Raw genomic sequence first — 27,849 nt, forward strand, 5'->3', positions numbered from 1 at the left:
GTTTCGTCATGTTGGCCAGGCTGGTCTCAAACTCCTGACCTCAGGTGATCCGCCCGCCTCAGCCTCCCAAAGTGCTGGGATTACCGGCATGAGCCACCATGCCCAGCCAGAAGCATAATCTGAAGTCTCTTATCCTATGAAATTGACCACCTAGGCAGGGTGTGGTGGCTCACACCTGTAATCCCAGCACTTTGGGAGGCCAAGGTGGGTGGATCACCTGAGGTCAGGAATTCGAGACCAGCCTGACCAACATGGTGAAACCATGTTTCTACTAAAATACAAAAATTAGCCGAGCGTGGTGGCATGGGCCTATAATCTCAGCTACTCGGGAGGCGGAGGCAGGAAAATCTCTTGAACCCAGGAGGCAGAGGTTGCAGTGAGCTGAGATTGCACCACTGCACTCCAGCCTGGGTGACAGATTGAGACTCTGTCTCAAAAAAAAAAAAAAAAGTAAAGTAAAAAAGAGAAAAAGAAATTGGCCACCTAAAGAATGTGTGAACTCTAAATACAAGTCTGACTCCTGGCTCCAAGAGGTCATTCTATCCCATTAAATAACCTGCTCAAACACTAAACTAGAAAAATGTCAGACAATCCTAGGCATTGTGAGGAAATAAGAAAATGATATGGTTACAGTCCTCAAAATATCTTATAATCCAACTGGAGAAGTCAGACTCATACAAATGAGAAGACAACTTATATGAAAGAAAAATAAAAGCTCAAGACCCCAATTCACTATGCCAAATGGGAAAAATTAAGCTGAAAGCTGAGTCATGCAAGCAACTACCTTTCCTTTTATTCCTAAGCAGATAGCTACAGATAAAACATAAATTTCTCCACAGGTAGCTACTCTGTGTTCACCTTATCATAATTGACTATTCCTCTAATTGCTCCTTTTCTCTTGCAACTTGTGAATTACCACACCCTTCCTCTTTCCCCTCCAGCGCACTTTTACCCTTTAAATATTGAAGCCCTCAAAGTCATCTTTGGAGAAAGGCACAGATCACCGACTGTTTCTGAGATTCTGTGGTGTTTTTTTTGTTTTGTTTTGTTTTGTTCTGTTTTGATCTGTGCAAATTGTCCTAAACCTTGGCAAAATGAACTTCTAAATTAATTGAGACCTGTCTCCAATACTTTTTAGTTAAATGTACAAGAGAGAAAACAGTGCTGGATGAACATTACAGATTATAAATCATCTAAGGAATTCAGAACGTTTAATCAACTCTAACACAGAGGTCAGGGAGAAGCAGGACTTGAAATGGACCTTGCTGGTCTGCGGGATTGAATAGGTTAAAAGAAAGACTTTTCAAGATAAAGAACTAATTTGAGAAAAGTTTTAAAGATGAGTTTACCTAAGTCATATTTGGAGCATAGAATGGAATATGTAGAGATGAGTCTGCAATGATTTGAACCTAATTCTGCAGTGACTTGTATGTGTCAGCAACTGTGCCAGACTTTAGGAATACAAAAATAAAAGTAGTGGTTCCAACTCTCAAGGACCTTACACTGTGCTGAGAGTCACAGAAGTAAGTGGTTGTAATATGATAAGCAATATGTATGTATTTGGTCTTTGTCCCCCAGTTCCTGGCACACTTCCAAGGATTTTTCCTAAACTTCTTGGAAGTTCCACAGTGATCCATCTTTTGTATGCTAATGAGATGAGTGGTGGCTGGGAGCCTGAAGACAGCTTCAGGATGGGGCTGGTAATTAGAAAGACCAAGACATGGTTAGAGGGTTGAAACTTTCAGCCCCACACCACCACTCTCCCCTTCCATTGACCTCCTGGGAGGGGAGAGGGGCTAGAGATTAAGCTAAAAACCAATGCCCAACAATTTAATCAATCATACCTATGTAATAGAGCCTCCACAAAAACTCTACATGACAGAGTCTGGAGAGCTTCTGGGTTGGGAGATTTTCTGAGCTGGTGAACACACTGAGGGGCTGGGAGGTTGGCACTCCCAGAGACATCACGGAAGCTCCTTCCCCCATACCTTGCCCTATGCATCTCTTTTTATCTTTTTTTGTCTGTTCCTGAGTTGGACACTTTACAATAAATTAGTAATAGTAAATAAGTGCATTCCTGAGTGTCAAATTTAAAAATCTAAGCTGTTGGAATTTTAAAATATGTTGAGCCTTAACGGAATGTGATTATGAGACCTGAGTTATGTAAACAAGCAGCTATGACCTAGGCAGCCAAAATTTTTGTTTACCTGATTGTACATTAGCCTTTTTCCTTGCCTACATTGTTTTGTAAACTGCTGTAAATGATTAAAGGGTGCCAGGGAAGACGTATTCCCTCTAAACTGTTGATCTTCATTATTGATTAACTTCCTTCTTTCTTCTCTCATACAATGACTACCACATTGCCTAACATGAAATGTTAACTGTACTCTTAAAATTGGAAAGGAAATGAAAACAAACTGTACAGAAAAGAAAACAAACTGTAACTTTAATTAAATCATTATAACTCATAAACCAGCTTTGTATGTAAAAAGGGTATAATCCTACTGAATTTGTTTTCTGCCTATATAAGCAAGACCTTAAGTTTGAAGTTTGAAGCACTGACCCCATTCCTTTGGAGTCTGTGTTACCCGAATGGCTGTTCTCAGACTTTTGCTTAAATAAACTCTTTTAAACTGGATTCTGATCCTTTTGATTATTTCAGGTTGACATGAGTTCTGTGAGCCATTCTAGCAAATTATTAAACCTGACAAGGGAATCATGGGAACTCTCTGAATTTATAGCCAGTTGATTAGAAGTTCAGGTGGCAATCTGGGACTTGTGACTGGTGTCTGAAGTGAGGAAGGTCTTATGAGACTAAGCCTTTAACCTGTGGGGTCTGTGCTAACTCCAGGTAGTTAGTGTCTGAATTGAATTGTAGGACACCTAGGTGGTGTCCAGAGAGTTGGAGAATTAGTTGGTGTAGGGAAAAAAACTCACACACATTTGGTGTCAGAAGCATTGTGAATGAAAACAGTGCCAAGCACTCAATTACAGGGCTGTGGAGGTGCTATGACAGAGGCATGCATGAAGCATTCTGTGAGCACAGAGGAGGAATAGCTAACCAAACTTCATGGCAAGAGAAAATCATCCCAGAGGATCAATGTCAAACGAAGTCTTAAAACTTCAACAGGAACTGATCAAATGCAATGGAAGAAGAGAGTGCAGGGAAAGAAGTACCTTATGGAGAGGTAGAAATTGCATGTAAAAGGGAACAGAGGAATACAAGCACTTAACACTTTTGAAGAGCCCAAAGAGGCCCACATGCATGGGGTACAGGATGGAGAATAGTGAAGCGCAAGGCAGGTTGTGATTTGTCAAAGTGTTTAGCTCAATACGAACTATAAGAGAGGCCACTGGGGTTATGTAAGTAGAAGAGTGGCATTTTAGAAAGTTCCCTCCAGAAACAGTAGAGGAGATAAATTGGAGGAAGTTAAGCTGGGTCCAGGAAGAGTTGTTACAAGGACATTGCAATAATCCTGATTACTGATTTGGATACAAATCAGATACAAGTAGTATCCTGAGATACTATTTGACCAACTAAGACAGTAGGGAGAAAGAAAAAGACTCAGATGTAAGAAAAAAATTAAGGTAAAATCAACAAAACATCATGACTGGCATTGAATATGGGGAATAAGAAAGAGAAATGTTGTAGAATATTCTAAAGTTTCTAGCTTGAGTCATTTATCAAGATATAAAATACAGATATAGGGCTCATGAAGGAGTAGAGCAGAATGGTTTCAAAAATATGTAAGTAGAGGTGCCCTTGATGCATGCAGGAGAAGCTGTCCAGTTGGAAGTTGGTTTTGGTCACTGTGTAGCCAAGGAGAGAAATCTGAGCAGAACTATAGACTCGAGAGTCAAAAATTAGACAGTGGTTGAAGCCACAGGTATGGATGAGGTTACTCAAGTACAAAGGTAGAATAAGAAGATGGACAAAGATGGAATACATAGAAATGTGTCCATTCATGAGATGAATAGAAGAAATAAATCTACTTAAGAAAACGAAAAAGTTGACTGAAAGTTAAGAAAAGAACCAAGTGAGAATACGAGGAAAACGCATCAGAAAGGAGCATTGTGTCAGAAGCATTGTGAATGAAAACAGTGCCAAGCAGTCAATTACAGGGCTATGGAGGTGCTCTGACAGAGGCATGCATGAAGCATTCTGTGAGCACAGAGGAGGAATAGCTAACCAAAATTCAAGGCAAGAGAATATCATCCCAGAGGATCAATGTCAAACTAAGTTTTAAAACTTCAACAGGAATTGATCAAATGCAATGGAAGAAGAAAGTATAGGGAAAGAAGTGCCTTATGGAGAGGTGGAAATTGCATGTAAGGCCGGGCACGGTGGCTCACGCCTGGAATTCCAGCACTTTGGGAGGCCCAGGCGGGCGGATCACCAGATTAGGAGATCGAGACCATCCTGGCTAACACGGTGAAACCCCGTCTCTACAAAAAAATACAAAAAAATTAGCCAGGCGTGGTGGTGGGCGCCTGTAGTCCCAGCTACTCGGGAGGCTGAGGCAGGAGGATGGCATGAACCTGGGAGGTGGAGCTTGCAGTGAGCCGAGATTGCACCACTGCACTCCAGCCTGGGCGACAGAGCGAGACTCTGTCTCAAAAAACAAAGATTAAAAAAAAAAAAAAAAGAAATTGCATGTAAAAGGGAACAGAGGAATAGAAGCACTTAACACTTTTGAAGAGCCCAAAGAGGCCCACATGCATGGGGTACAGGATCATAAAATGTATTATTAAAAAGCTAATAAAATATTTAAAATTAGTAAATATTATATAAAATTATATATTATTAGATATTTAAAATTAATAATTATAATAAATATTACAAAGAAGCTAATTAAGTGAACAAAGAATGAAACATTTATATTTTATTTGGCACTTGGGAGATGCTTTTTGTCAGAGCATTTTCTGCGCAGGGAGACACAAATGAGTTAAGGAATAGATGTGAGGTGATATAGAAGAGACAGTAAGTGTAGGCTCCTCTTTTAAAAAAATTCTTGGATATGAGTAGAAGCCAAGAGTTAATGTTTGAGGAAGTCATAACACCAAGTTTTTGGATACAGAAGAAAAATAGGCGTGTTTTATGAGCAGCTTTAGGAAAATAATTTAAGGAACAAAAAAACTAAACAAAAGAGAGAGGAGAATGAAGAAAAGCTCCTAAGGAGATAAAAGGGAAAAAAGATTTAGAATTTGGGTTGAATGTTGGTACTACAGAAGGGAAGATCAGGTAATACTGAAGATAAATGGACTGATCTATAGATAAGACGTATGAAGTAAGAGGCTAGACTTGATGGGAGATTGATCATGGAAAACACAGCTAACGAATACATGGTTTCCTTTTGGGGGTGATAAATATGCTCTAAAATTGATTGTAGCAATGGTCACACAAGCATTGAATTGCATGCTTTAAATGGGTGAAATGTATGGTATATAAATTAGATGTCAATAAAGCTGATGCAAAAAAGAAAAGAACAAACATGAAAGATATTATGAGGAATAATTAATATGATTATATTTAATATTAGTTGTAATAATTATCACAATAGCTAATTTTTATTAATACGATATATATAATAACCAACATTTATTAATATAAGGAAATCTAGTGGCTAACATTTGCTGAGTGTCAATTATGTAGTAGGTATATTAATACAATTATATGTACAACATGTTTTCATATATATGTAATTTTATTTAATTAACCCAATAATCCTATTAGGTAGATCCTATTATCCTCATTTAACAGACAAAGAAACCATGAGACAGAGATATTAAATACTGTTCAAGTTCATATAGCTGGTGAACAAAAAGCCATGTTATGTGAGAGGCTTTGCTCCTAAACACCAGATTATCCTGCCCAAAACAATATAAAGATGTGGACCTTAGCTTTTCATCTTTGCATCACCAGCTTCAAACTTATAAATAGCATTCAATAAATATTTGGAGAATTAATTAATATATTGCTTTTGGATGATGAGACGGGAAGAATTACTTGTCTCTTACTCAAGGTAACAAAGTAATAACTACTACAAGAAATAAAATCAGGAAGAAAATAGCTGTCATTCTGGGCTATCTACTGAACAAGGATTGTTAAAACTACATAAAACTCTTGATATTTCATATCAAGAATTAATCTCAAAGTAAGGGCCTATAGATCACTAAGTTAACAAAATCTATTTTTATGGCTGTTCTACTAAAAGACAGATTCTAGCGTTGTAATGCATTTCTCAGTTTGAGAGAATATTTTCAAGCTAGGAGCTCAAATTTTCTTACCTGCTGTTTGGTTATTCGTTATTTTCTATGGAAGAAAAAGTTGAGCATCAAGTTTACTCTTCTACAAGAAACAGGCGCTTACCTGAATTCAACTTTACGGACAGACTCTTGTTGCCAGTCAAATGGGAGACATGGCAGGTCACAGTAGACTTGTGGCCCTCCCAGGGGCATGTACTCTTAACCGTCACTGTGCCATTGCCCCAGTATTCTTGCTTAGTGGCAAGAATAGATCCCTCTGGGATCCAGGAGATCTGGGCAGCTGGCTTCCCTGTAACTGCCTTGCATACTGCAGTTATATTCCTGCTTTGAAATAGGTTCACTTCGGGTGTAACTGCAGAGAGGAAAGAGGGAAAAAAATGCTTCAGTTTTCACATAAAGCATATGGAATTCAGAGAGACATTTGTTTCAGTCACAAATCTGGTGATGTGAAATACCTCAGTATGTGATGCTCCTTACCTAACACTTGGAGGTGATATCCACGATGGAAATTCCCATCAGGTGTTACCACTATGCCTCTGTAATACCCGTCATGAGTGGTGTCCACCGGACGAATCTGAAGGTCCGAATTCTGATCAGGTCTAGAGACCCAGGTTATTCTCTCAACAGTACAGTTGGTTTCCTTGGTCTCATTTGTTTCTTTCTTGTAGGCTTTTGTGCAGGAAGGCTGGCCTCTCAGGATTATTTCCCATGTTATTATGATCAAATTTCTTAATGCGATAGGAGGGCAACAAAGCACAGCATTTATATCCATCAGTACAGGCTGTGAAATGTTACCTGGACACACACACAAAGGATAATGATATAGAAAACCTTGATAAGGAACTTCATGTGTTATGTTTATCCACAGTATATTACATGAAGTTTTATTAGAACATAAATTTGCTGATCTTATTCCAGAAATATTAGACTTAGGTAAGAAAATAACATTCACAAAATATAAATAATATATTGAACCCAATCTAAAGATTAACAAACTTTCTCCAGTATTATGTATTATTAGAAAAACAATATACATAACATTGTATTCTGAAATACAATAAAGTATTCTGATTTTAGTTCAGGAGTTTTAATATCTAGAAACAGAAAAGAAAACAGAATTATAATTTAAACAACAAAGGCAATGTTCTAAATCTAATCTTTAGGTGGTAGAGACTACTGTATTTATCATACAATTCATGTGCCTTGGAAAAGAAAATGGAATAACTAGTGATGTGATTGTCTCCTCCTTCGTTTTGGTGAGCACAAGAAAAATCAGTAACATCAAAGTTAAATACCTGTCTCTAAGGTTGTTATTTCAGACAACCATAAATGTGGAAAGTTTGTGGTTCTTTCATTAAAGGTAACTAATACGGCATTCAAGTGGAGCTAGCTGGACATGTTTTATTTAGATAATTACATGTTTTGTTTAGAGAATTACAGTCAGTGAGATCCACAGATCTTTAAAAAATCTATAATTTTGCCAGTTGAGCCATCCCATGTAAGTAAAAAAAAATGCCTAGTGATAAGATGTTTAGAAATATTCATTTCTAGTTTAAAAAGTAGTGTGGCATATAATTTTTAAAAAGCTTTATTTTCCTTTGGACATTTATCATGAAAAAGTTTTATTGCAAATTGGTGACATTGTCAAATATAGCCTTTGGATATTTTCCTTCCTTCCTGTTTAGTCACACATACAACCCCAGAGAGTTCAGTGGTAAACTTTCCTCATAGATTTTATTTCTGTATATTCAATCCAATTCTCAGGTGTAAATGTAGAAGTCGACTCCTTTCTGTCCATCTTTTAAAGTAAAAATTAAGCCCTGCATCCTACAAGCATCTGCCAACATAGATTCTCATGCATCTCGTAAGCCAACACAATGTTTCCACAACTGATCAGGGTTTACTAAGAGGTACTTATTCTGCCGAAGTATCTGTCACTACTCACCTGTAACAAAGGTGAGTGTCAGAGATCTCATCACTATAGCATAAGCAGAATCAGTTGCAGAGGGGCAAAACTTTATGTGGATGAAGTTTGTTTTTGCTACACCCTGCAATTAATATCTCTCCTCTCCTGTTTTGGTGTCACCTGTCTCTTATGTGGTACTTTAACCCTTATATTTGACAGTCAAATAATGATCACATAACCAGATGCAGAAAGAAGCAGGACTTTAACGCAGACCTGAAAGGTCATTAAATCCACGCTCCTTCCAGCACTCCACCTTAGCAAAGGTTCAGAGGTAAGCAAGAGTATGGCTTGTTTGGAGAACTAGAGACTGGGACATTCAGGGTCCTTCGTACCACAGCACTCAGATCAACATGTTCTTCAAGTAGTCACAAGGCTGGCCTCCAGCCAGGCCATCAGCTAATGATTCTACTGAAGTTCAACTTTCCATCCCTCAGTGCTGGCCACTACTAAGGGAGCATATTACCTTCTGCAAAAATTGTTGAATAGTTCTGTGTCATCTGCTTTCCACCCATGCATGAACTACTTGAAGCTAGAAAACATTTAGAGAAGAATAAGCGAAATCAATTTTATGTACTCAGAATGGAAACAAGTGTTTCCCCACAGTCTTACTCAACATGAAGACAATTAGTTAACCATAACTAAAATTATACAAAAATCATTGTAAAACAGAAATTAGAAGTTATGCCATCATTAGAGGAAAAAACATGTTAACATCTTGAAAATTATACTTATAAGCAATTGATAATGATTTCTCATTCATGAGATGCTTTGTTTAGTCAACTAGTTTGTATGAGGTAACCATGCCTCCCCCTATTCCTCCTTCCCCAACCAAGGAGATGGGTCCATGTGGGCATCTCACATGAGCTGGTCCAATTATACTCCTTTCTCCAAATGCTGGAGACAGCATCTTTAAATGAAATTTCTCTGCACATTTTTTTTCCTTTTTAACCTAGCTCCTCTAAAAGAGTGAAAGAAATGAACACAAAACTGGAATAATTACTAACCAGGAAGTAGCTCTATAGACACTCTTGTTGCTACTCAAATGTGCCTATCATAAGGTCATGGTAGACACATTGTGGCCCTCCCAGTGACATGAACTCCCAACAGTCACTGTGCCATTGCCCCAATATTCTTGGTTGGTGACACAATCCCCCTGCGGGGTCCAGGAGATCTGTGCAGCTGGCTTTGCTGCAACTGTCTTACACACCACAGCTCTATGCCTGCTTAGAAACAGGGTCACTTCGGGGGAACTGCAGAAAGGTAAGGAAAAAGTGCTTCAATCTTAACATAAAGAATATGAAATTTAGAGAGACATTTGTTTCAGTCCAAATCTGATGATGTGCAATGCTACAATATATGATGTTCCTTTCCTAACACTTGGTATGGTTAGGATTAGGTACTTCAGTGATGGCCTAGGGGAATGAATGTTGCAGTAATTCTCAAAGCGTGGTTTTCAGATGGCTAGGGATAGCCAAGACCCTTTCAGTGGACATCATCATGGGTGATATCCATGATGGAAATTCCCATCAGGTGTTACCATTATTCACCTGTAATACCCATAATGAGTGAGGACAATGGGATCAACCCAAAGGGAAAGATTCCAGTCAGGACTGGAGGCCTACGTTATACTCTTGTCATTGCAGTTTTTTTTTTTTTTTTTTTTGCATTGTCTCATTTCTCTCTTTCCTGTAGGCTTTGATGCAGGAAGAATTGTTTCTGATGAGTATTTCCCATGCTGTTACCATCACACTTGTCAATAGGATGGGATGGCAACAGAGCATAGCCTTTGTATCCATTAGTAAAGACAGTGAAGTGCTAACTGGACACAACAAGAAAACGAAAATGATAAAAATTTCTACATGCCAATTTCTTCTATTGGGTCTCATTTAAAGTCCCATAAAACCCTTCTTTTTCTTAATAAGTATTTTACCCACCCTGGATGTAAAAAAGTGGTTGGAGAGGAGAGAGGAGAGATATTTTTGTGTTCATTTCTTTCACTCTTTTAGAGGAGTTAGGTTAAAAAGGAAAAAAAAAAAAGTGCAGAGAAATTTCATTTAAAGTTGCTGTCTCCAGCATTTGGAGAAAGGAGTATAATTGGACCAGCTCATGTGAGATATCCACACGGACCCATCTCCTTGGTTGGGGAAGGAGGAATAGGGGGGAGGCATGGTTACCTCATACAAACTAGTTGACTAAACAAAGCATCTCATGAATGAGAAATCACTATTAGTTGCTTATAAGTATAATTTTTAAGATGTTAACATGTTTTTTCCTCTAATGATGGCATAACGTTTAATTTCTGTTTTACAATGATTTTTGTATAATTTTAGTTATGGTTAACTAATTGTCTTCAGCTTGCAACTCAAACATTTGATATAAATGCATTTCCTCAGGATAATCACCATGATTTGGTATGCAACAAAAATGTGTTAAATGTATTTCCAATTCCATCATGTAGAATACTTAAAAGATACTGTATATAAGGCTTCAGATTTAATACATTAATTATTTTTACTGAATCATCAAAGACATTCTTAGGCAATGTGTACGTGTGTGCATGAGTGAGTGAAGAATACAATGACTATTGGTACAGCTTGGTGCCTCTTATAGGTTGAATTGTATATCTGAAAATTTACATGTTGAAGTCCTAACCCTCAGAGATGTGATCTTATTTGAAAATAAAATCATTACAAGTATAACTAGCTAAGGTAAAGTCATACTTGAGCGGCATGAGCCCCTAACGCAATACAATTGGTGTTTTCATAAAAAGAGCAAATTGGACACAGATATGGACACAGGGAAAGCACCATGTAAAAATTGGAGGTATGCTGCACAAGCCAGGAAATACCAGAAGCTGGGAGAAGGGCTTGAAACAGATCCTTTCGTAGTGCCTTCAGAGGGAGAATTGCCCTGCCAACACCTTGATCTCGGAGTTTTAGTTTCTAGAACTGTAACACAATAGATTTCCATTGCCTCCACTTCTCACTCCATGGTTCTTTGTTACAACAGCCCTAGCAAACTAATACAGTGCTCTGCACTTCATTCATGCTAAGGCACCAGTAATTTTAAACAACAGTTCAATTGCACTATCAGTGAAAATATCAGTAGAAAGGCAAATAACATCACTGTATTATCATTATTATTATTATTGTAACTCATTTTTACCGAGGTGACCCACTGAAAGGGTCTTGGTTATCCCAGCCATCTGAAAACCACACTTTGAGAACTGTTGCAATAGTTATTCCCCTAGTCCTTCACCAAAGAACCTATGACCATGTGTTTAGGTAACCATAACTGGGGAAAAAGGAATACAAGGATCTTTTGAAGGTTATTTGAATACTAATCTGAATTGATCCTGATACCCAAGAACACAAAGAACATTAAGGGCCTCCTGTTAGAGTAGAAACATATCGGAGTCAGATGATAAAAGAAATCCTGGGCCTGGTTCATATCACAGTGGACCTTCAAAGTCCACAGACTTATACAGTGGTGATTTTTCAGTTGCTGAATATTTAATTAGAATGAACATGCTTAGCAGCTTGCAGACCATCTTGTTGATTCCTTGATCTGTAAAGTAAGTGCTATTATAATAGGAAAGACCAAGATAAATCCCCCAAACCACCCCCCTTGGCGAAGATAGTAAATAAATATTAATACTGAAGACCTAAGTATGAGTCTCCTCTCAGAGACTTAAAGTATACTAAAATAGTGGTCCCCATCATGTCTCTTACTTAATTTACCAGTTAGATCCCTGCAAAACACTGGATGGTGAATTATAGTAGATCAATGCAAAATTACCAAAGTATCAGCCCCAACGGCAGCTACTCTGCCAGATAAGCTATCTTTACTAGAGATACTCCAGTTGCAGTATGTGGTTATTGATCTGGTAAATGCATTATTTTCAACATTCATCAGGAAGGAACATCAAAAATAAGTTTGTATTCCACAGGACAGTAGAGAGTATATAAATATGGTCTTGCCTTAATTTCTACTTTCATGTACAATGTAATCTAAAAAGATCTAGGCTATCTGGGCATTTTGCAAAGACCATCATATTGGTCTACTATATTGATGACATCATATCAATTAGATCTTCTGAGCAAAAAGTGAGAGTTATTATGAATACCTTAGTTAATCACATGCATTCCAGAGGTGAGAAGTCAATTCTACAAAGATTCAGGGCCTGACACATTAGTGAAGTTTCTAGTAGGCCAGTGGTCTGGACCCTACCATATATCCCCTCTCGAAAAAAGGACAAATTATTTAACCTTACTTCCTACCACTGAGTAGCACAACACTTGGTTTTGGAGGCAGCCTGCTGCATATTTGCGATTACTGCTCTGACCCTCTAATAGGATGCTAGTCCAAGTGTGCTCCAGACCAAGAAAGGAATCTGTAACAGGTCCATGCTACAGTATACCAGCCCTGACAATAAGTTCATAAAATCAGGCAGATCTGTGATACAAGAAGATTCTGTGATAAAGATGAAATGTGGAGCCTCAGACAAGTCCAGTAGGACAGTCACAGTGCAGGCCTAGGGTTCTGGGGGTAAATCTATGTCATCTGAAGCAGATAACTAGTTGCCTTTTAAAAAATAGCTCATGGCATGCTACGGGACCCTGGTGAAGACTGAGCATCTAATCATGGGATATGAAATGATCAGGCTCCTAAAACAACCCATTATAAGCTGCATACTATTAGACCCAACAAATCATAAAGTAAAGTGGACCCAGTAGCACTCCATTGTAAAACAGAAATGGCTACAATGGGGCTCAGGCTCCAGACTCAAGAGAACACCAGTCATTTTAGTGAACAAATGGTCCAGGCCCCCACTTCATATACCACTGTTATACTGTCATCTCTCCCTCAGTTCACATCTAAGCCCTCCCTGTGTGTTCCCTAGGACCAAAACCCAAAGCTTAGCTTTGGATGGGTTATGGATGGGTTGCCTCAGTCTGTGATATAAGCCAAAAGTGGACTGTTGTGGCACTGTAGCCCCACTCTGGTCTGGCCCTGAAAGACAGTGATGATGAAAAACACTCAAGTAAGAAATGTAATACTCAGTAATAAAAGAGATAAACTCATAAGCAGTGGCAAATGGTTTGGCTTGTTTGGTCAGAGACCTGGAAGAGTCAAAATTGGAAGGTAGAGGACAAGAAGGTGTGGGGTAGAGGCATGTGGATGCATTCAGAAATTGCCAGCTTCATGGAGCACTGGCACAGCCTCTGGAAGTCACAACTAACGTTTGGAAATGATATCTTATGAGGATGGGACACCACCCTTTAGGAGGGTGCTGTGTCCCTAGCTCCCCAGTTCATAGAATAAACTGGATCTGAGAGACAAGGAGTAGAAGTGGGGTAGTCTCACTCACCATCATTCTTTTTTTTTTTTTTTTTTTTTGAGACCGAGTCTCACTCTGTTGTCCAGGCTGTAGTTCAGTGGCATGACCTCGGCTCACTGCAACCTCCACCTCCCTTCATTGTCATTCTTATTGACTCGTTTAGAGAATTTGTGCTTCCAAATCCCAGTAATTTTAGATTTGTGAGTCTAGGATCTTGAGTTTCATAGGGGAGATACTTCTACCAGGAGACACACTAAGAATTCCTCTAAGCTATAGCTAAGCTATAGCTGTCCCCTAGTATACCAGTAGGCACAAAATGGAGTTGCCTTTTGTCAGGGGTAATTTAAGCCTGATCATCATGAGACAATAGTGCTATGGGATCTTTGGGATGTCACTTTGCCAGCTGGAAACCTTTGTGGCCAATGGCACCTTTGCCCAAATTTTGCTGTGATCCACTGGGCTCATTCTGCCTATTTGGCCTGGCAGGCAGCACTTGGCTGGTGCTATTGGCCTGGATCCCACATCTGCCAAGGACGAGCCAGGCACAGACCAATGAGGGATGTGTGAGTGAGCATGGGATCCAACCACTGCACACAGCCAGGCACACTACCTGCAGAGGAGTGGGCAGCTCCAAGTGCTGGCATGGGTGCCAGCTCCCTGCAAGGCTGCAGCTTGACAGGCATACCATAAACAGCTTCTGGGGAATGTGGTGGTGCCCAGAAGCTTGGAGACACCAGGAACTGCAGAGCCCTAAAAGGGTGTCACAGCCCTGGCTCAGGGAGCTCCTAGGTCTGGGCTCCCCAAAGAGCCACAGCTCTTCTCTCCTTCTCTCTTCTCTCCTTGTCATCCACAATGTGGCAATCAAGGGGCGTGTTTCAGCCCTGTTTGTGTTACAGCTCTTTTAACCCTATCATTTGGCAGGTCCTGAGTTTTTGTCCTGTGACCAGGAAGAATGAGGTATGCAGACAAGTGGAGGGCGAGCAAGGTTAAGAGGAGCTTTATTGAGTGATAGAACAGCTCAGAGGAGACCCGAGTGGGTAGCTCCTTTCTGCAGCCAGGGTGTCCTGATGAGTGTTTGGTTCCTAGTAGAGAAGAAACCCTAGAGTGGGTAGCTCCTCTCTGCAGGCAGGTCATCCCATTGAGTGTTCAGTTCCTAGCAGAGAGGAAACCCTATAGTGGGCAGGTGCTCTCTACAGGCAGGTTGTCCCATTATCTACTCAGCTCTCAGCAGAGAAGGTAGCCCCTCTCTGCAGCTGGTTGGCCCATTATGGCCCCAGAGGGGAGAAAGTGCATGCCAGTTGGTCCATGGGTGCCCATAGGTGGGCTCAGAAAAAGCACTACAAGTTCCAATTTCAGTTTGCGGGACCAGTAGCCCAGCACCAAGGCTTCAGGCCTTCCCAGCTTGAAGGTGGGGCTTCACCAGGGGCCTGCACCTTTCTGCCCTGGAGCCTCTCTACCTCCTGCTGCTCTTCATGGTGTCCATGCTGTTCATGCCGAGGGGCACCTGCAGGCCAACATCAAGCTGCCCTCAGCAACCCCCCTCGGCCTTTCTCCCATGCTTATTGGTGCCCAAAGTCTGGAGGGGGCCAAGGTGGCAGGGCTTCTGCCTGTTCCCAGCTCCCAAGAGCACAGGGGTGCCCAGGTTGCAGCCGCAGCTTGGGCGGCTCCTTCCCTGCCAACTTAGAAGCGGCAGGCCTCCCACTTGTTCCCAGCTCCTGTTGGCTTCATGGAATGCACAGCTCTGGCTGCACCCCCTCTCTGTGTTTTCCCCACAGCCGCAGTAGGCAAAGAGCAGGTGGCATGGTGGCCCCAGCCAACCCTGCACAAATGAACCCAATGCGACCAGGGACAGCAGTGTGTCTTGACTGTGCCTTCAGCCAGGTGCTTGTGGGCTCCCAGGATGAAGCAGGGAGTGAGGTTGAGGCCATAGTAAAGGCTCAGTGCCTGGTAGTGGGTCCTGCCTGGCCATGCGAGACTGGGGGTAGTGCGGTCAGCTGCCTCGCAGACACGGAGCACAGAGGTCCCATCACCGCCACTGCTGCTCTCACAGCCACTCCTGCTGCCACCACCTGCACCTCCCTTCTGCAGCTGGCAGAAGGCCACTGCAGAATAGGCAGAATAGGACTGCAGAATAGGACATCAATAGGCAGAAGTCCTACTGATGGCAGTGGCCACTCCAGACAGCCCGCCACTGCATCAATAGGACTGTTTTTATATAATGGGAGTAGGGAGAAATATGCCTTTTGTACTCTCATAACCAGCTTTAATTGTAAATCATTAAATATGCATAAATCAGGAAGGTCTTTTAAGGGCCTGGCAACCAGGCCTCAGACCACTCAGGGGTCTATGCTTAAGACTCAGTCTTGCTGTGGATGTATCCTTGATCCTAATTTCACTAGGATGTTTTGTAAGTCAACAGTGACGAATTTGCCAAACACCTTTTTGACATATACTGAACAGTTTGTGAGATTCTTTTTTCTCTTTAATCTAAAATTAGGTAAAGTATATTAGTAGATTATTTAATATCAACTATTTTACATTCCTAAAAATGTTACCTTGTTGTTGGTTTAATTCTTTTAGTGCACTACTGATTTGATATGCTGATATGTGGAATCTTTGCCTCTGCATTTACAAGTGAAATTAGCTTAGAAAGTTTTTTGTATACTAACTTTGTCAGGATTTGATATCTGAGTTATACTTGTAAAATTTAGAAAACATTTCTCCTTTCTCTATTCTATGGGAAAACTAAATGACATAAAAATTATCTGTTCCTTAAAGGCTTAAAGTGATGTAAACTATTTCTCTTACATAGCAATCTAAGGCCACACATTTTTTGGCAGTAATTCTCAATTTCTTCTATGGTTCTCTATCTATTCATGTTTTCTATCTCATCTTGAGCCAGTTGCTAATTTACTTTTCCACTAGAACATTTATTTCATGGAAGTTTTCTAATTTAATAGGAGAAATTGTACAAAATATTCTTTTATATTTCTTTGGTTTCTTGATATTTGTTGTTAATTGTTGATTTTCTCCCCACATTTTGTGTATTTTTTTAAATTTACTTCCCATTTAGAATAGTCTTTATCCCATTAAAAAAATCAGTTCTTGGAATCATTTATAAATTCTAGCTTTCCACTTCTTAATTCATGCTGTTCTTCTTTTGACTTTATTACTACCTTTCCTACTTCCTTCCGCCATTTGAGTACAACTTGACTTTCCAGGCTCTGCTCTCACTGCAATCCAGCATGCACACTAAACTCCTCCCACCCCAGACTGCTTCTATTGGCTGAACATTTTATGTGCCTTTCTACCCTGTACTTTAGTCCACAATGATCCCCTGGCCTCTTTTTTCCAATAATTTATGCCTTCTGAAATCCTTCTAGAGCCTGTGCAAAAGCCACTCTCTGTAATACACTGGTTTTGTATTGTAGTGCTCCTCTCATTCTACCTTGTAATATAATTCTGTATCCTTGTCTAATTCCAAGACCAGAATATGTAGACTACTTGAAGGTGCTGTAAGTTTTCTTCTTTTTAGCTTCTATTTTTGTGTGCTACTAAGAAATCTACATGTTTGCTTTTTGTTGTTGAATTAAATTGAATAAGTCGGTCCTTGCTTGGTCTTCAAGCAATAGTGTGCAGAGAGGTATCTGTTAAAATTGCACACAGGACAAATGATCATGTAAATGTTTCTGCTGATGATCCAACCCTCCCATCAAACTGGTTATTAAGTAAGTGAGCATTTTACCTTCATTAAGACGTATTCTCTAACTTTGTATTTCCAGTTGTGTCATCAGACAGGAATTATTATCTGAGGCTAGAAAATATTTAAAGAAGAAATATGGAGAAAATTAAGAACTTTTCTTTACTGAAATGGACTAGAATCCACTGATTTCATATAAGATAATCACAGAAAACAACATTTCAATTCCTTAAATTAATTAATAATCACACCAAAAAAACCTCTACATAAAAGAAATCAGCAGTGAGACCATAACTAGATAAATGCACGTATGTCAGGATTTTGACATTTCTTTTGTAGTTATGAATAAATGATTCATTCAATGTTATTATAACAGATCAGTCTGTACCAGTCTTTTGCCAGCCACATCCACTTCTAATCAGTGGAAGAGTTCAATGCAGGGCCCAGGAGTAAAGTTCCATCTCCAGAACTATTATAGAAATGATAGACAACCTCCCCCACTTCAAATAAAAAACTTAGAAGTACTGGATGAACTAGAACAATGCCTGTTTCAAATGCATGGCTGAATTTGCAAAAAAAACAAACAAACAAACAAAAAAAAACGGTAAGGGAAACCTCTCAAGGTAAAAAATGACAAAGAAACAGGAAACCATGAGATCATTTGCTGGTCTCAATAACAGAAAGCCTTTTAAAAATAATTACTTAGATAAATTTAAATTTATTGTGATTTATTTTACGGCTCATTTAATGGTCTACCTTGGTAAATATTCTGTGTTCACCTGAAAAAAATGTGTATCCTCCTGTGACAGCTAGTTTTATGTGTCAAGTTGGCTAGAGTATAGTATTCAATCATTCAATCAAACACTAATTTAAACATTGCTGTGAAGGTATTTTGTATGTGATTAATAACTACAATCAGTTGATTTTAAGTAAAGGAGATTATTCTCAATAAAGAAGATGGGCCTCACTCAATCGGCTGAAAGGCCTTAAGAGAAAAAGTGAGGATTTCCGGAGTAAGAAAAAAAATTCTCTTTAAGGCTGCAGCATTAGTTGCATTAGTTTCTGCCCAAGAGTTTGCAGACTACAAGTCCACCCTAAAAATTTCAAACTTAACAGCTTCCACAATTGCAATAATCAATTCCTTGAAATAACACACACACACATACACACACACACGTACATACACACATAAATATACATACTTTCCATACTTTCTACTCATTACGTTTCTCTGGTGGAACCCTGACTGATACAGATTTGGTACCATAAGTGGTCCTCAAGAAACAGAAGCTTAAGGATAAATTTTCAGAATTGTTTCGGGGTTTTCTGGAATTGGTCATCTAATCTAGTTAGATTTAAAAGCACTAATGACTATATTTCTAGTGCTAGAGGGCACACTGATAGTCCATGGCATGAAGTAACAATAGAGATATGCGAAAATGTCACAACTGGATAATCCTAGTCAAATACTTATAAAAGGCAAGGTCTGAGTGATCATGTATTTGATACTTTAGAACATTTACATATAACAAGATTGGCTCGTTTCTCCTAATTTGCTGCCCAAATGGATAAAGAAAAAGATGAGTTCAGGGCTTCAAATTCTCAACTTAAACTATGTGAATGAACTGGAAGTTTCTATGTCTGCCGTGAAAGAACCCCCTATCTTCTCAGCAAGGCTGAAGTTTCCAGATACCAAAACTTATCCCGTAAGAGGCTGAATGACAACACAAATTGAATTCCTAACCTGTCAGAGTATCCTCTGCTGGAGTGAGGTTCTTGATTGAAAAGGAAAGGGGTCCTGAAAATTGGAATGTGAACATATAGGCAAAAGCTGAGGAAACTGAGCACATAAAATTTCTAAAGTCTCCTAAGTCTTTGCCCATAGAAGCAGCCCTCCCACCCCTGTTTGAAGTGGTTAATCCCCTGCTTTGCCTGAAGAAACTGTAATGATTTTTCTTCAACTAGTTGCCTTAAAAGACACTTTCTATTCTCCTCAGGATCTTCCCCCTCACTCCTCTTTGCTTCCAGACTTATAACTAGACTTGAGTCCCTGCAGGGCCCAAAAAGTGAGGTAGAGTGTGACCCACAAGAAGTTACACCACACACCAAAATATCTATATGATTTTTCCAATATATACAGTTATAAATCTGGACAATATGTATAGGAATGAATATTAAGGATGTGGAATAATGAAAAAGACAAAGCTGAATGAGGCCAAATTATTGATATGAATCCACTTAGGCAGAGATTCTAGATTCAGTGCTGTAGCTCCAGGCATTAGAAAGGGCTCTGTGTGTGTTGGTCAGTTCTTGCACTGCTATCAAGAAATACCTGAGACTGGGTAATTTATAAAGAAAAGAGGTTTAGTTGGCTCATGGTTCTTCAGGCTGTATGGGATGCATGGTGGCATCTGCTTCTGGGAGGGCCTCAGGGAGCTTTTACTCATGGCAGAAGGCAAAGCCAGAACAGGCATGTTCACATGGCCAGAGCAGGAGGAAGGGGTTGTGGGTGGGAGATGCTACACACTTTTAAACAACCAGATCTCATAACTTACTCACTCACTATCATGCAAACAGCACTGAGGTAATGGTGCTAACACATTCATAAGAATGTCACCTCCATGATCCAATCACCTCCCACGAGACCCCACCTCCCATACTGGGGATTACAATTAGACGTGAGATTTAGTGAGGACACAGACCCAAACTGTATCACTATTCATTTGTTTAGTGACCTTAAACATGGACCAAATTGTGGTCTACACTAAATAAAAATAAAATATCAGAACTGCTTCAGTATATGGAAAAATGAGAGTGCCAGAGGAAAAAAGTACCAGAATCTGCATATAAACTCTCCCCACTTCTTGCTAGAATTCTAGCTAGAAAAACTGAAATTGTTTGCTGGGTGTTAATACATGAACAATGTCATTTCTTCCTGGAAAAAATATGCTGATTGTGACTGTGATTATTAAATAAATTATATACATATTTTATATTTATTATTGTCATTATTATTTAAAAGTAATTGTGGTTGTTTTGATTCTTAGGAGCTATTAGCATCACACAGTCCAGAGCTATTTCATAACCACAGATCTGCTCCTTAATCCCAATCAGGGATCCGGAATGTATGTTAGTGATAGCAAGAGAAAAGAGGAAAAATATATTGATGGTTTGATATGGTTTGGCTCCCCACCCAATCTCATTGTAAATTGTGATCCTGAGTGGGGCCTGGTCGGGGGTGACTGGATCATGGGGTGGTTTCTAATGGTTTAGCACCCTCCCCCTAGTGCTGTCTCATGATAGAGTTCTCACAAGATCTGCTTGTTTAAAAGTGTGTAGCACCTCCTCACCTTCTGCTGGCCATTTGAAGACATGCTTGCTTCCCCTTCACATTTCCACCATGATTGTAAGTTTTTTGAGGCCTCCTCAGCCATGCTTCCTGTACAGCCTGTGGAACAGTGAGCCAATTAAACCTCTTTTCTTTATAAATTACCCATTCTTGGGTAGTTCTTTATAGCAATGTGAGAATGAACTAATACATGGTTACTTAATGCCCAAAGAATAGGCAGAGGCACAGCTCAAACCTGTATGGAGCCTAGAAGATTTCTCATGTGGGGCAGGTGCAGCAAAACACAGCCATATGCAGTCATCGCCAAGGTTTGCCATCTTTTTCTGAGTGATTCTAGCCCTTGCTGACTGCCAGGCTGGCAGAAGGAAAGGCTGCCTTTCCCACAGGACTAGGGTGTATCTAATCTACCCTTGTCCACCAGCCCCACCCAAGGCCCATGCCTTGCCACTCCTGAAATAGGGTGCACACAGCACAGCCTCCATTTCTCCACCTGGGTGTTTTGCAGTGGTCCAGGAGCAGTTTGGCCCCCCCGGAACACCTGGTGCTCAATCCTGAGGTGTCAGAGGATAAAACCATGCACTCGATCCCAAAGTCCAGGGTTCAAGCACACCACCCAGAGGTATCAAGATGAGATCTGTGGCCTAAGTTCAAGCCAGAGAGGAGCCCCCACTCTCAGAACACTGAGAAGAGTAAGGAGTAGGTTTGTGTTTTGGCATAGTAGTTGGGCATCCCTTTATCTGTGAGACTGATCAAGTAAGGGTTTAGCCTGTTGGCCAGCTTCAGCTTCTGCCCAAGGGATCTCCACGGCCCACAACATCTGGAACACCTCAGTGATCTAGACACAGAAGGCTTGGGACAAAACTAGCTGGTTGGGCCTGCTCCTGGGACCAACATCAGAGGGAAAACTGGTCAGGAGAGCACACAAGCTGGGTGGTCTTCACCACCATGTTCTGGGAAAAGAATCTCAGGCTACAGGCACCACAGCAGTGTTGCGGGAAGTCAGGGACCCTGAATGGAGGGACCAGCTGGAGCCGTGGCAGAGGAACATAAACTGTGAAGATTTCATGGACATTTATCAGTTCCCAAATAATACTTTTATAATTTCTTATGCCTGTCTTTAATTTCTTAATCCTATTATCTTCATAAGCTGAGGATTTACATCACCTCAGAACCACTGTGATAATTGTGTTAACTGTACAAATTGACTGTAAAACATGTGTGTTTGAACAATATGAAATCAGTGCACCTTGAAAAAGAACAGAATAACAGTAATTTTTAGGGAACAAGGGAAGACAACCGTAAGTAAAGTCTGACTGCCTGCGGGGTCGGGCAAAAAGAGCCATATTTTTCTTCCTGCAGAGAGCCTATAAATGGGTGTGAAAGTAGGAGAGATATCACTAAATTCTTTTCCTAGCAAGAAATATTAATATTAATACCCTGGGAAAGGAATACATTCCTGGGGGAAGGTCTATAAACGGCTGCTCCGGGAATGTCTGTCTTATGCGGGAGATGCGCCTGGTCTTCTGCAGTACCCTCAGGCTTACTAGGGTGGGGAAAAACTCCGCCCTGGTAAATTTGTGGTCAGACCGGTTCTCTGCTCTCGAACTCTGTTTTCTGTTGTTTAAGATGTTTATCAAGACAATACATGCACCGCTGAACATAGACCCTTATCCATAGTTCTGCTTTTGCCCTTTGCCTTGTGATCTTTGTTGGACCCTTATCAGTAGTTCTGCTTTTGCCTTTTGTCCTGTTCCCTCAGAAGCATGTGATCTTTGTTAAACCTGCTCTGAGTCTGCCAAGCTCAGAGGACCAGCGGGTCTCCAAGGAGTTGTGGGCCTCCTGGTAACCTAAACTTTGCCCTAGACAGGAAGAGAGAGTAAGCAACTTAGAAAACATATTTGAGGATATAGTCAACAAAAATTTACCCAATCTCACTAAAGAGGTCAACGTGCAAATTTGAGAAATTCAGACAACTGCAAGATACTACACAAGATGACCATCTCCAAGACACATAGTCATTAGACTTTCCAAGGTCGATGTGAAATAAAAAAATCTTAAAAACAGCTGGAGAAAAGGGCCAGCTCACTTACAAAGAAACCCCATCAGATTAAGAGCAGACATCTCAGCAGGATGCTTATAAGCCAGAAGAGATTGGGGTCTATTTTCAGTATCTTTAGAGAAAAGAAATTCCAACCAAGGATTTCATACTCTCCAAACTAAGCTTCATAAGCAAAGAGAAATACAATCTTTCCTAAGCAAGCAAACACTAAGAGAATTCATTGCCACTAGGCCAATCTTACCAGAGATCCTTAAGGGAGTTCTAAATGCGGAAATTTAAGAACAATGTCTGTTACTACAAAGACACACTTAAGACATAGCCCTATAAAGAAACTACACAATCAAGACTATAAAGCAACCAGCTAATGACATCACAACAGAGTCAAGACTTCACATATCAATATTAATATGGAATTAACCTAAATGTGCCACTTAAAAGGCACAGAGTGGCAAGTTGGATAAAAGAACAAGACCTAACCATCTGCTGTCTTCCAGAGACCTATCTCACACAGACCTAACAACACACACAGGCTGAAAGTAAAGGGGTGGAAAAAGATCTATCACACAAACGGAAAACAAAAAAGAGCAGGGGTCACTATTCTTATATCAGGCAAAACAGAATTTAAACGAACAACAATAAAAATGGGACAAAGAAAAGCATTACATAATGATAAAGGGTTCAAATCAAAAAAAGAATTAACTATCCTAAATATATACATGCCTGACATTGGAGCACTCAGAATAAAAATAAAAAGTATTTCTAATCCTGTGGAAAGACTTAGCCACTTAATAATAGTTGGAGACTTCAACATCCCACAGACAGTGTTAGATCATCAAGGCAGAAAACTAAGAAAGGAATTCTGGTCTTAAATGTAATATTTGATCAATTGGGCCTAACAGACATCTACAGACAACTCCACTCAACAACCACAGAATATCCATTTTTCTCATCTACATATGGAACGTGCTCTGAGGTCAGCCACATGCTCAACCACAAAACAAGTATCAATAAATTAAAAAATGTCAAAATCATACCAACCATACTCTCACACCACAGTGGAATAAAAATAGAAATCAATATCAAGCATGTCTCTGAAAACTATACAATTACATGGAAATTAAACAACTTGATCCTCAATAAGTTTTGGGTAGACAATAAAATTAAGGAAGAAATCAAAAACTGTTTAAAATTAATTAAAACAGAGGCATGACATATAAAAATCCCTGAGATCCAGCAAAAACAGTATTAAGAGAAAAGTTTATAGTGCTAAACACCTACATCAAGAAGTTAGAAAGATCTCAAATTAACAATCTAACATTACACTTAGAAGAACTAGAAAAGGCCGCGCGTGGTGGCTCACGCCTGTAATCCCAGCACTTTGGGAGCTGAGGGGGGTGGATCACAAGGTCAGGAGTTCAAGACCAGCCTGGCCAGTATGGTAAAACCCTGACTCTACTAATAATACAAAAATTAGCCAGGTGTGGTGGCGGGTGCCTGTAATCCCAGCTACTCAGGAGGCTGAGGCAAGAGACTCTCTTGAACCCAGGAGGCAGAGGTTGCAGTGAGCCAAGATGGCACCACTGCACTCCAGCCTGGGCAATAAGAGCTAAAATCCGTCTCAAAAATAAATAAGTAAATAAATAAATAAAAAGAAGAGGAAGTTGAAGAAGAACTAGAAAAACAAGAATAAACTAACCCCAAAGCCAGCAGAAGAAAATAAATCACTAAAATCAGAGCAGAACTGAATGAAATTGAGATCCAAAAATCTATACAAAGCATCAACAAAACCAAAAGGTGACTCCTTGAAAAGACAAACAAGGTCAATAGAGTACTAGCTGGATTAACAAAGAAAAAAAAAGAGGAGGTTCAAATAACTACAATCAGATATTACACAGGTGACATTACAATTGATCTCACAGAAATACAAAATGTCCTCGGAGACTATTATAAACACCTCTATGCACACACACTAGAAAAATCTAGAAGAGATTGATGAATTCCTGAAAATACACAACCTCCCAAGATTGAATCAGGAGAAATTGAAACCCTAAGCAAACTAATAACAAGTTCTCAAATTGAATCAGTAATTTTAAAAATCTACCAACAAAAGCAGCCCAGGACCACTTTTAGGTCACAAAATTTTAGTTTCACTTCAATCCCAGCCCCCAATTACTCTGAATTCAGCCAGTCACCTAGTCAGTACACCACTGGGATAAGGCAACTCAGAAGGAGTTTTGCTGGATAATGTACACATTTATCACTGCTGCTAGGACAAGTCAAGAAACACCTTATAAGTAAGTAGATCAAGAGTATCCTCATAATCATTGAAAGAAAGCTTTATTTTCAGCTGAAAATGTCACAGTATCAGACTTACCAGACACCATGATAATGATGGAAATCAGTAATCTTGGAGCTGACATCTTCCCTAAAGTATGCTTTTGGAGTGGTTTTCTACTTAAACATAAATCCACTTTAAATCAATCAACAGACTTGGTGAATCTGTTTCTCTTGGTCACTTTTGCTTATTCTGTCTTCAACAGGATTGCAAAACATATTTCTTCATTATCTTGCTTATCTTTAATTTTTGCTGTCATTCTATATGTTTTTGACTGATTAACCACTGATGGGAAATGTCAGTGAGTTTTGCTGTGTAATAAAGCAAAAAAGCCAATGCTTACTACTCATTGCTTCTCCCACAACATTGAAGTAGCAAGATAAACTATATAACAACTCATTTAAAAAGTAGCATTTTGAGAGTATAAATTACATATGGTAAAATGAACAAATCTTGAGTGTATGGTTTGATGAATTTCTACCTATATATGCGCTTATCTAATTACTTCCAAAACCAAGATGTTGATAATTATTATTCAAAGTGTCCTTTGTTCCAAAGTGTCCTTTGTTCCTTCTCTGCTGATATCATCTCCTCCAGAGAAGTTGAGTAAACACTACTCAGACTTCTAATAGCTTTAATTCATTCTGACAGTTTTTGAACTTCACATGCATGAAATTCTTTGCAAATTTCAATTTTTAATGCTGTATAGTAAATTTTCAATAACTATATCACAATTTATTCATCAATTTCTCTGTAGATTTACATTATCCCAGTTTGGGGCTAACATAAAGCTTCTAAGAACATTCTTGTTTTGTACATAATTTTTGGTCTATGTGTACATTCATTTTCTTGGATATACACCTAGGAATTAAATTGTTGGGTTATAAGATAGTCATATGTGTGTCTTTAATAACTACTTTCAGTCATGGTTGAATAGTGCAACCCCCGCCCAACATTTATTTGTTGAAATTCTAATCCCCAGTACCTCAGAAGATGACCTTATTTGGAAATAGGGTCATTGGAGATATAATTAGTTAAGATGTGGCCATGCTGAAATAGATTGGTCCCTAATCCAATATGACTGGCGTCTTTGGTTTATTCTTTTTTTCTTCTTTTGCACTTCTTAGCTTTTTATGGTGTCCTTATAAAAAGAGGAAAACTGGGCGCATACACAGGAACACCATGTGAAGATAAAAGGCAGAGATCTGAGTGATGTTTCTTCTACAAGCCAAGGAAAACCAAAGGTTGCCAGGAAACCACTGGAAACTAAGACCGAAGCAAAGATTCTACCCTTCTGTTTTATAAGATTAAAGATTCTTTTGATGACAGGACACAACATGAAGACTCTTGGATAGGTGAAAGGCAAACCTCTTTGTTACTTATAGCTCCAAACAAGAGAAGAATTCCATGTAGGGCCACACAGTGGTTGCACACAGGGACAGGGTAACAACACACTGGAGCTGTAGAGAGTACCTTATATATGGTAATTGGAGTAGAATTAGGTTTCCTGAGAACCCTGTGCCTTAGCTAATTTGAATAACTTCACAAGCTCTAGGACATAGCTGTCCATGGGGCTGTTTGTAGTTGTCTGGTACTTAGCCCTGGGCAATTAGGGCAGGTATATAGTGACATACAGTGTGAGAACCAGATAAGGGAAGAGGCTGGGGGGACTTAAATCAGATATTCAAGAAGGGGAGCTAACTGTTAGGGGCTCAAAACTGGGACTAGAAGGCATTTTTTTTTTACATGAAAACTATATTAAAATTGACTTCTTGATCTCCACATTAGTGTTAAGCTTGATTACTTGAATTATTTGGGTGGCCTAAGTTGTAGAGCAGAGTTTTAGTAAGTAGTGCATACATTGCCCTAAATAGCACACACACACAAAAATTTTATTATTTTCTCCTTAAAAAGGAGGAAAACAAGTAGGAGTATAAAGAGTCCTTGTAGGCTGGTTCATAACCAAGTTTCACATTGTATGGCCTTAGCCAAGAAAACAGATCCGGGATTTCCAAGATCTCTAACAATATCCTGATTGACTTAAAGTATGTTAAAACATGAGCTATATTTTTGTGTGCGTGACGGTAATCTCTTGGTACATTCCAGGGTTCAAGGTGGCAGGTCCAACAATTATATTTTTGGAGAGTATGAAGTTAGTTAAGTAAGGTATATGTAAAGATTAATGACGTTTGTAACCTAGAGGAAGAGGTAGCAGCTGTGGGTCATGGGTGCAGGGCAGGATGTTGTGGTGGCAAACTGGAATGGAAAGTGTCAGAGGAGGTAATGGGCAATGGGAGGTCCTCTCTCCAGGGGGTTAAGTGGTGAACCCATATGAGGCAGTTGCTTCCTGGGGAAAGCAATAATCTCATTAATTATTAGAATGGCTCAAAGAGTAATACACTCTACCAGATTTTCCTTTAGGCATGGAAGTATAAAGGGGTACACTTTGGCAAAGAACAAGAGTTTAAGCAAATGGTGAACTCAGGAAACGAAACAGAATTTCTTATATCAAAGGAAGTAAAATGATAAATGTCCTGTGTCCAATTTTTTAGCTCCTTAGGAAAGCCAGCCTATGGATGTTGCTGGGGTGGTGGTCTCAGTGTCCAGGGTGAAGTCGTTTCTGGGGAAAAGGGCAAATTCATCTTCAAGGTCAAAGTCTTGGGCCGAAGTAATATCATCTATAATGTGAAACTGAAACTGGAACTGTGATGTGGGACATCCTTTTCAAATGATCACAAACTTGAGTTGATGTGGGTCTTATTTTTGTGGCTCTGTGGTACTATAACGAGGCTGAACCACATGTGGAATATGAAGGCAATGTTAGGCCTAGGG

At 39.6% G+C, this 27,849-nt stretch overlaps 1 protein-coding gene across 3 annotated transcripts in view, besides 2 other annotated features; it reads right to left on the reverse strand.

The window, feature by feature from the left end:
- The window catches only part of CD200R1L (CD200 receptor 1 like), a 31,154-nt gene extending 4,912 nt beyond the window's left edge, over positions 1-26,242 (reverse strand). Inside the window, exons 1-7 of one of the 3 annotated variants that reach the window (NM_001370552.3) lie at positions 26,003-26,242; positions 25,057-25,328; positions 20,625-20,722; positions 17,320-17,388; positions 8,697-8,762; positions 6,745-7,062; positions 6,371-6,619 (exon numbers count right to left, since the gene is read on the reverse strand). In NM_001370552.3, coding sequence (NP_001357481.1) covers positions 6,371-6,619; positions 6,745-7,062; positions 8,697-8,745 — 616 coding nt within the window. In that variant the 5' untranslated portion in view covers positions 8,746-8,762; positions 17,320-17,388; positions 20,625-20,722; positions 25,057-25,328; positions 26,003-26,242. The remainder of the gene's footprint in view (positions 1-6,370; positions 6,620-6,744; positions 7,063-8,696; positions 8,763-17,319; positions 17,389-20,624; positions 20,723-25,056; positions 25,329-26,002) is intronic. The other 2 variants (NM_001199215.3, NM_001008784.4) reach the window with 2 other exon arrangements.
- Positions 3,917-4,417: an enhancer, noted in NCBI's record as "H3K4me1 hESC enhancer chr3:112543386-112543886 (GRCh37/hg19 assembly coordinates)". NCBI's record gives its function as "activates a minimal SCP1, AML or CMV promoter by ChIP-STARR-seq in naive H9 embryonic stem cells {active_cell/tissue: H9 hESC(naive)}" and the evidence as "EXISTENCE:reporter gene assay evidence [ECO:0000049][PMID:30033119]".
- Positions 24,177-24,336: a silencer, noted in NCBI's record as "fragment chr3:112563646-112563805 (GRCh37/hg19 assembly coordinates)". NCBI's record gives its function as "represses an EF-1alpha promoter that drives an FKBP-Casp9 reporter gene in an ReSE screen in K562 erythroleukemia cells {active_cell/tissue: K562}" and the evidence as "EXISTENCE:reporter gene assay evidence [ECO:0000049][PMID:32094911]".
- Positions 26,243-27,849: the final 1,607 nt, after the last annotated feature.

Source organism: Homo sapiens, chromosome 3 (assembly GCF_000001405.40).
Source record: "Homo sapiens chromosome 3, GRCh38.p14 Primary Assembly".
Lineage (NCBI taxonomy): Eukaryota > Metazoa > Chordata > Mammalia > Primates > Hominidae > Homo > Homo sapiens.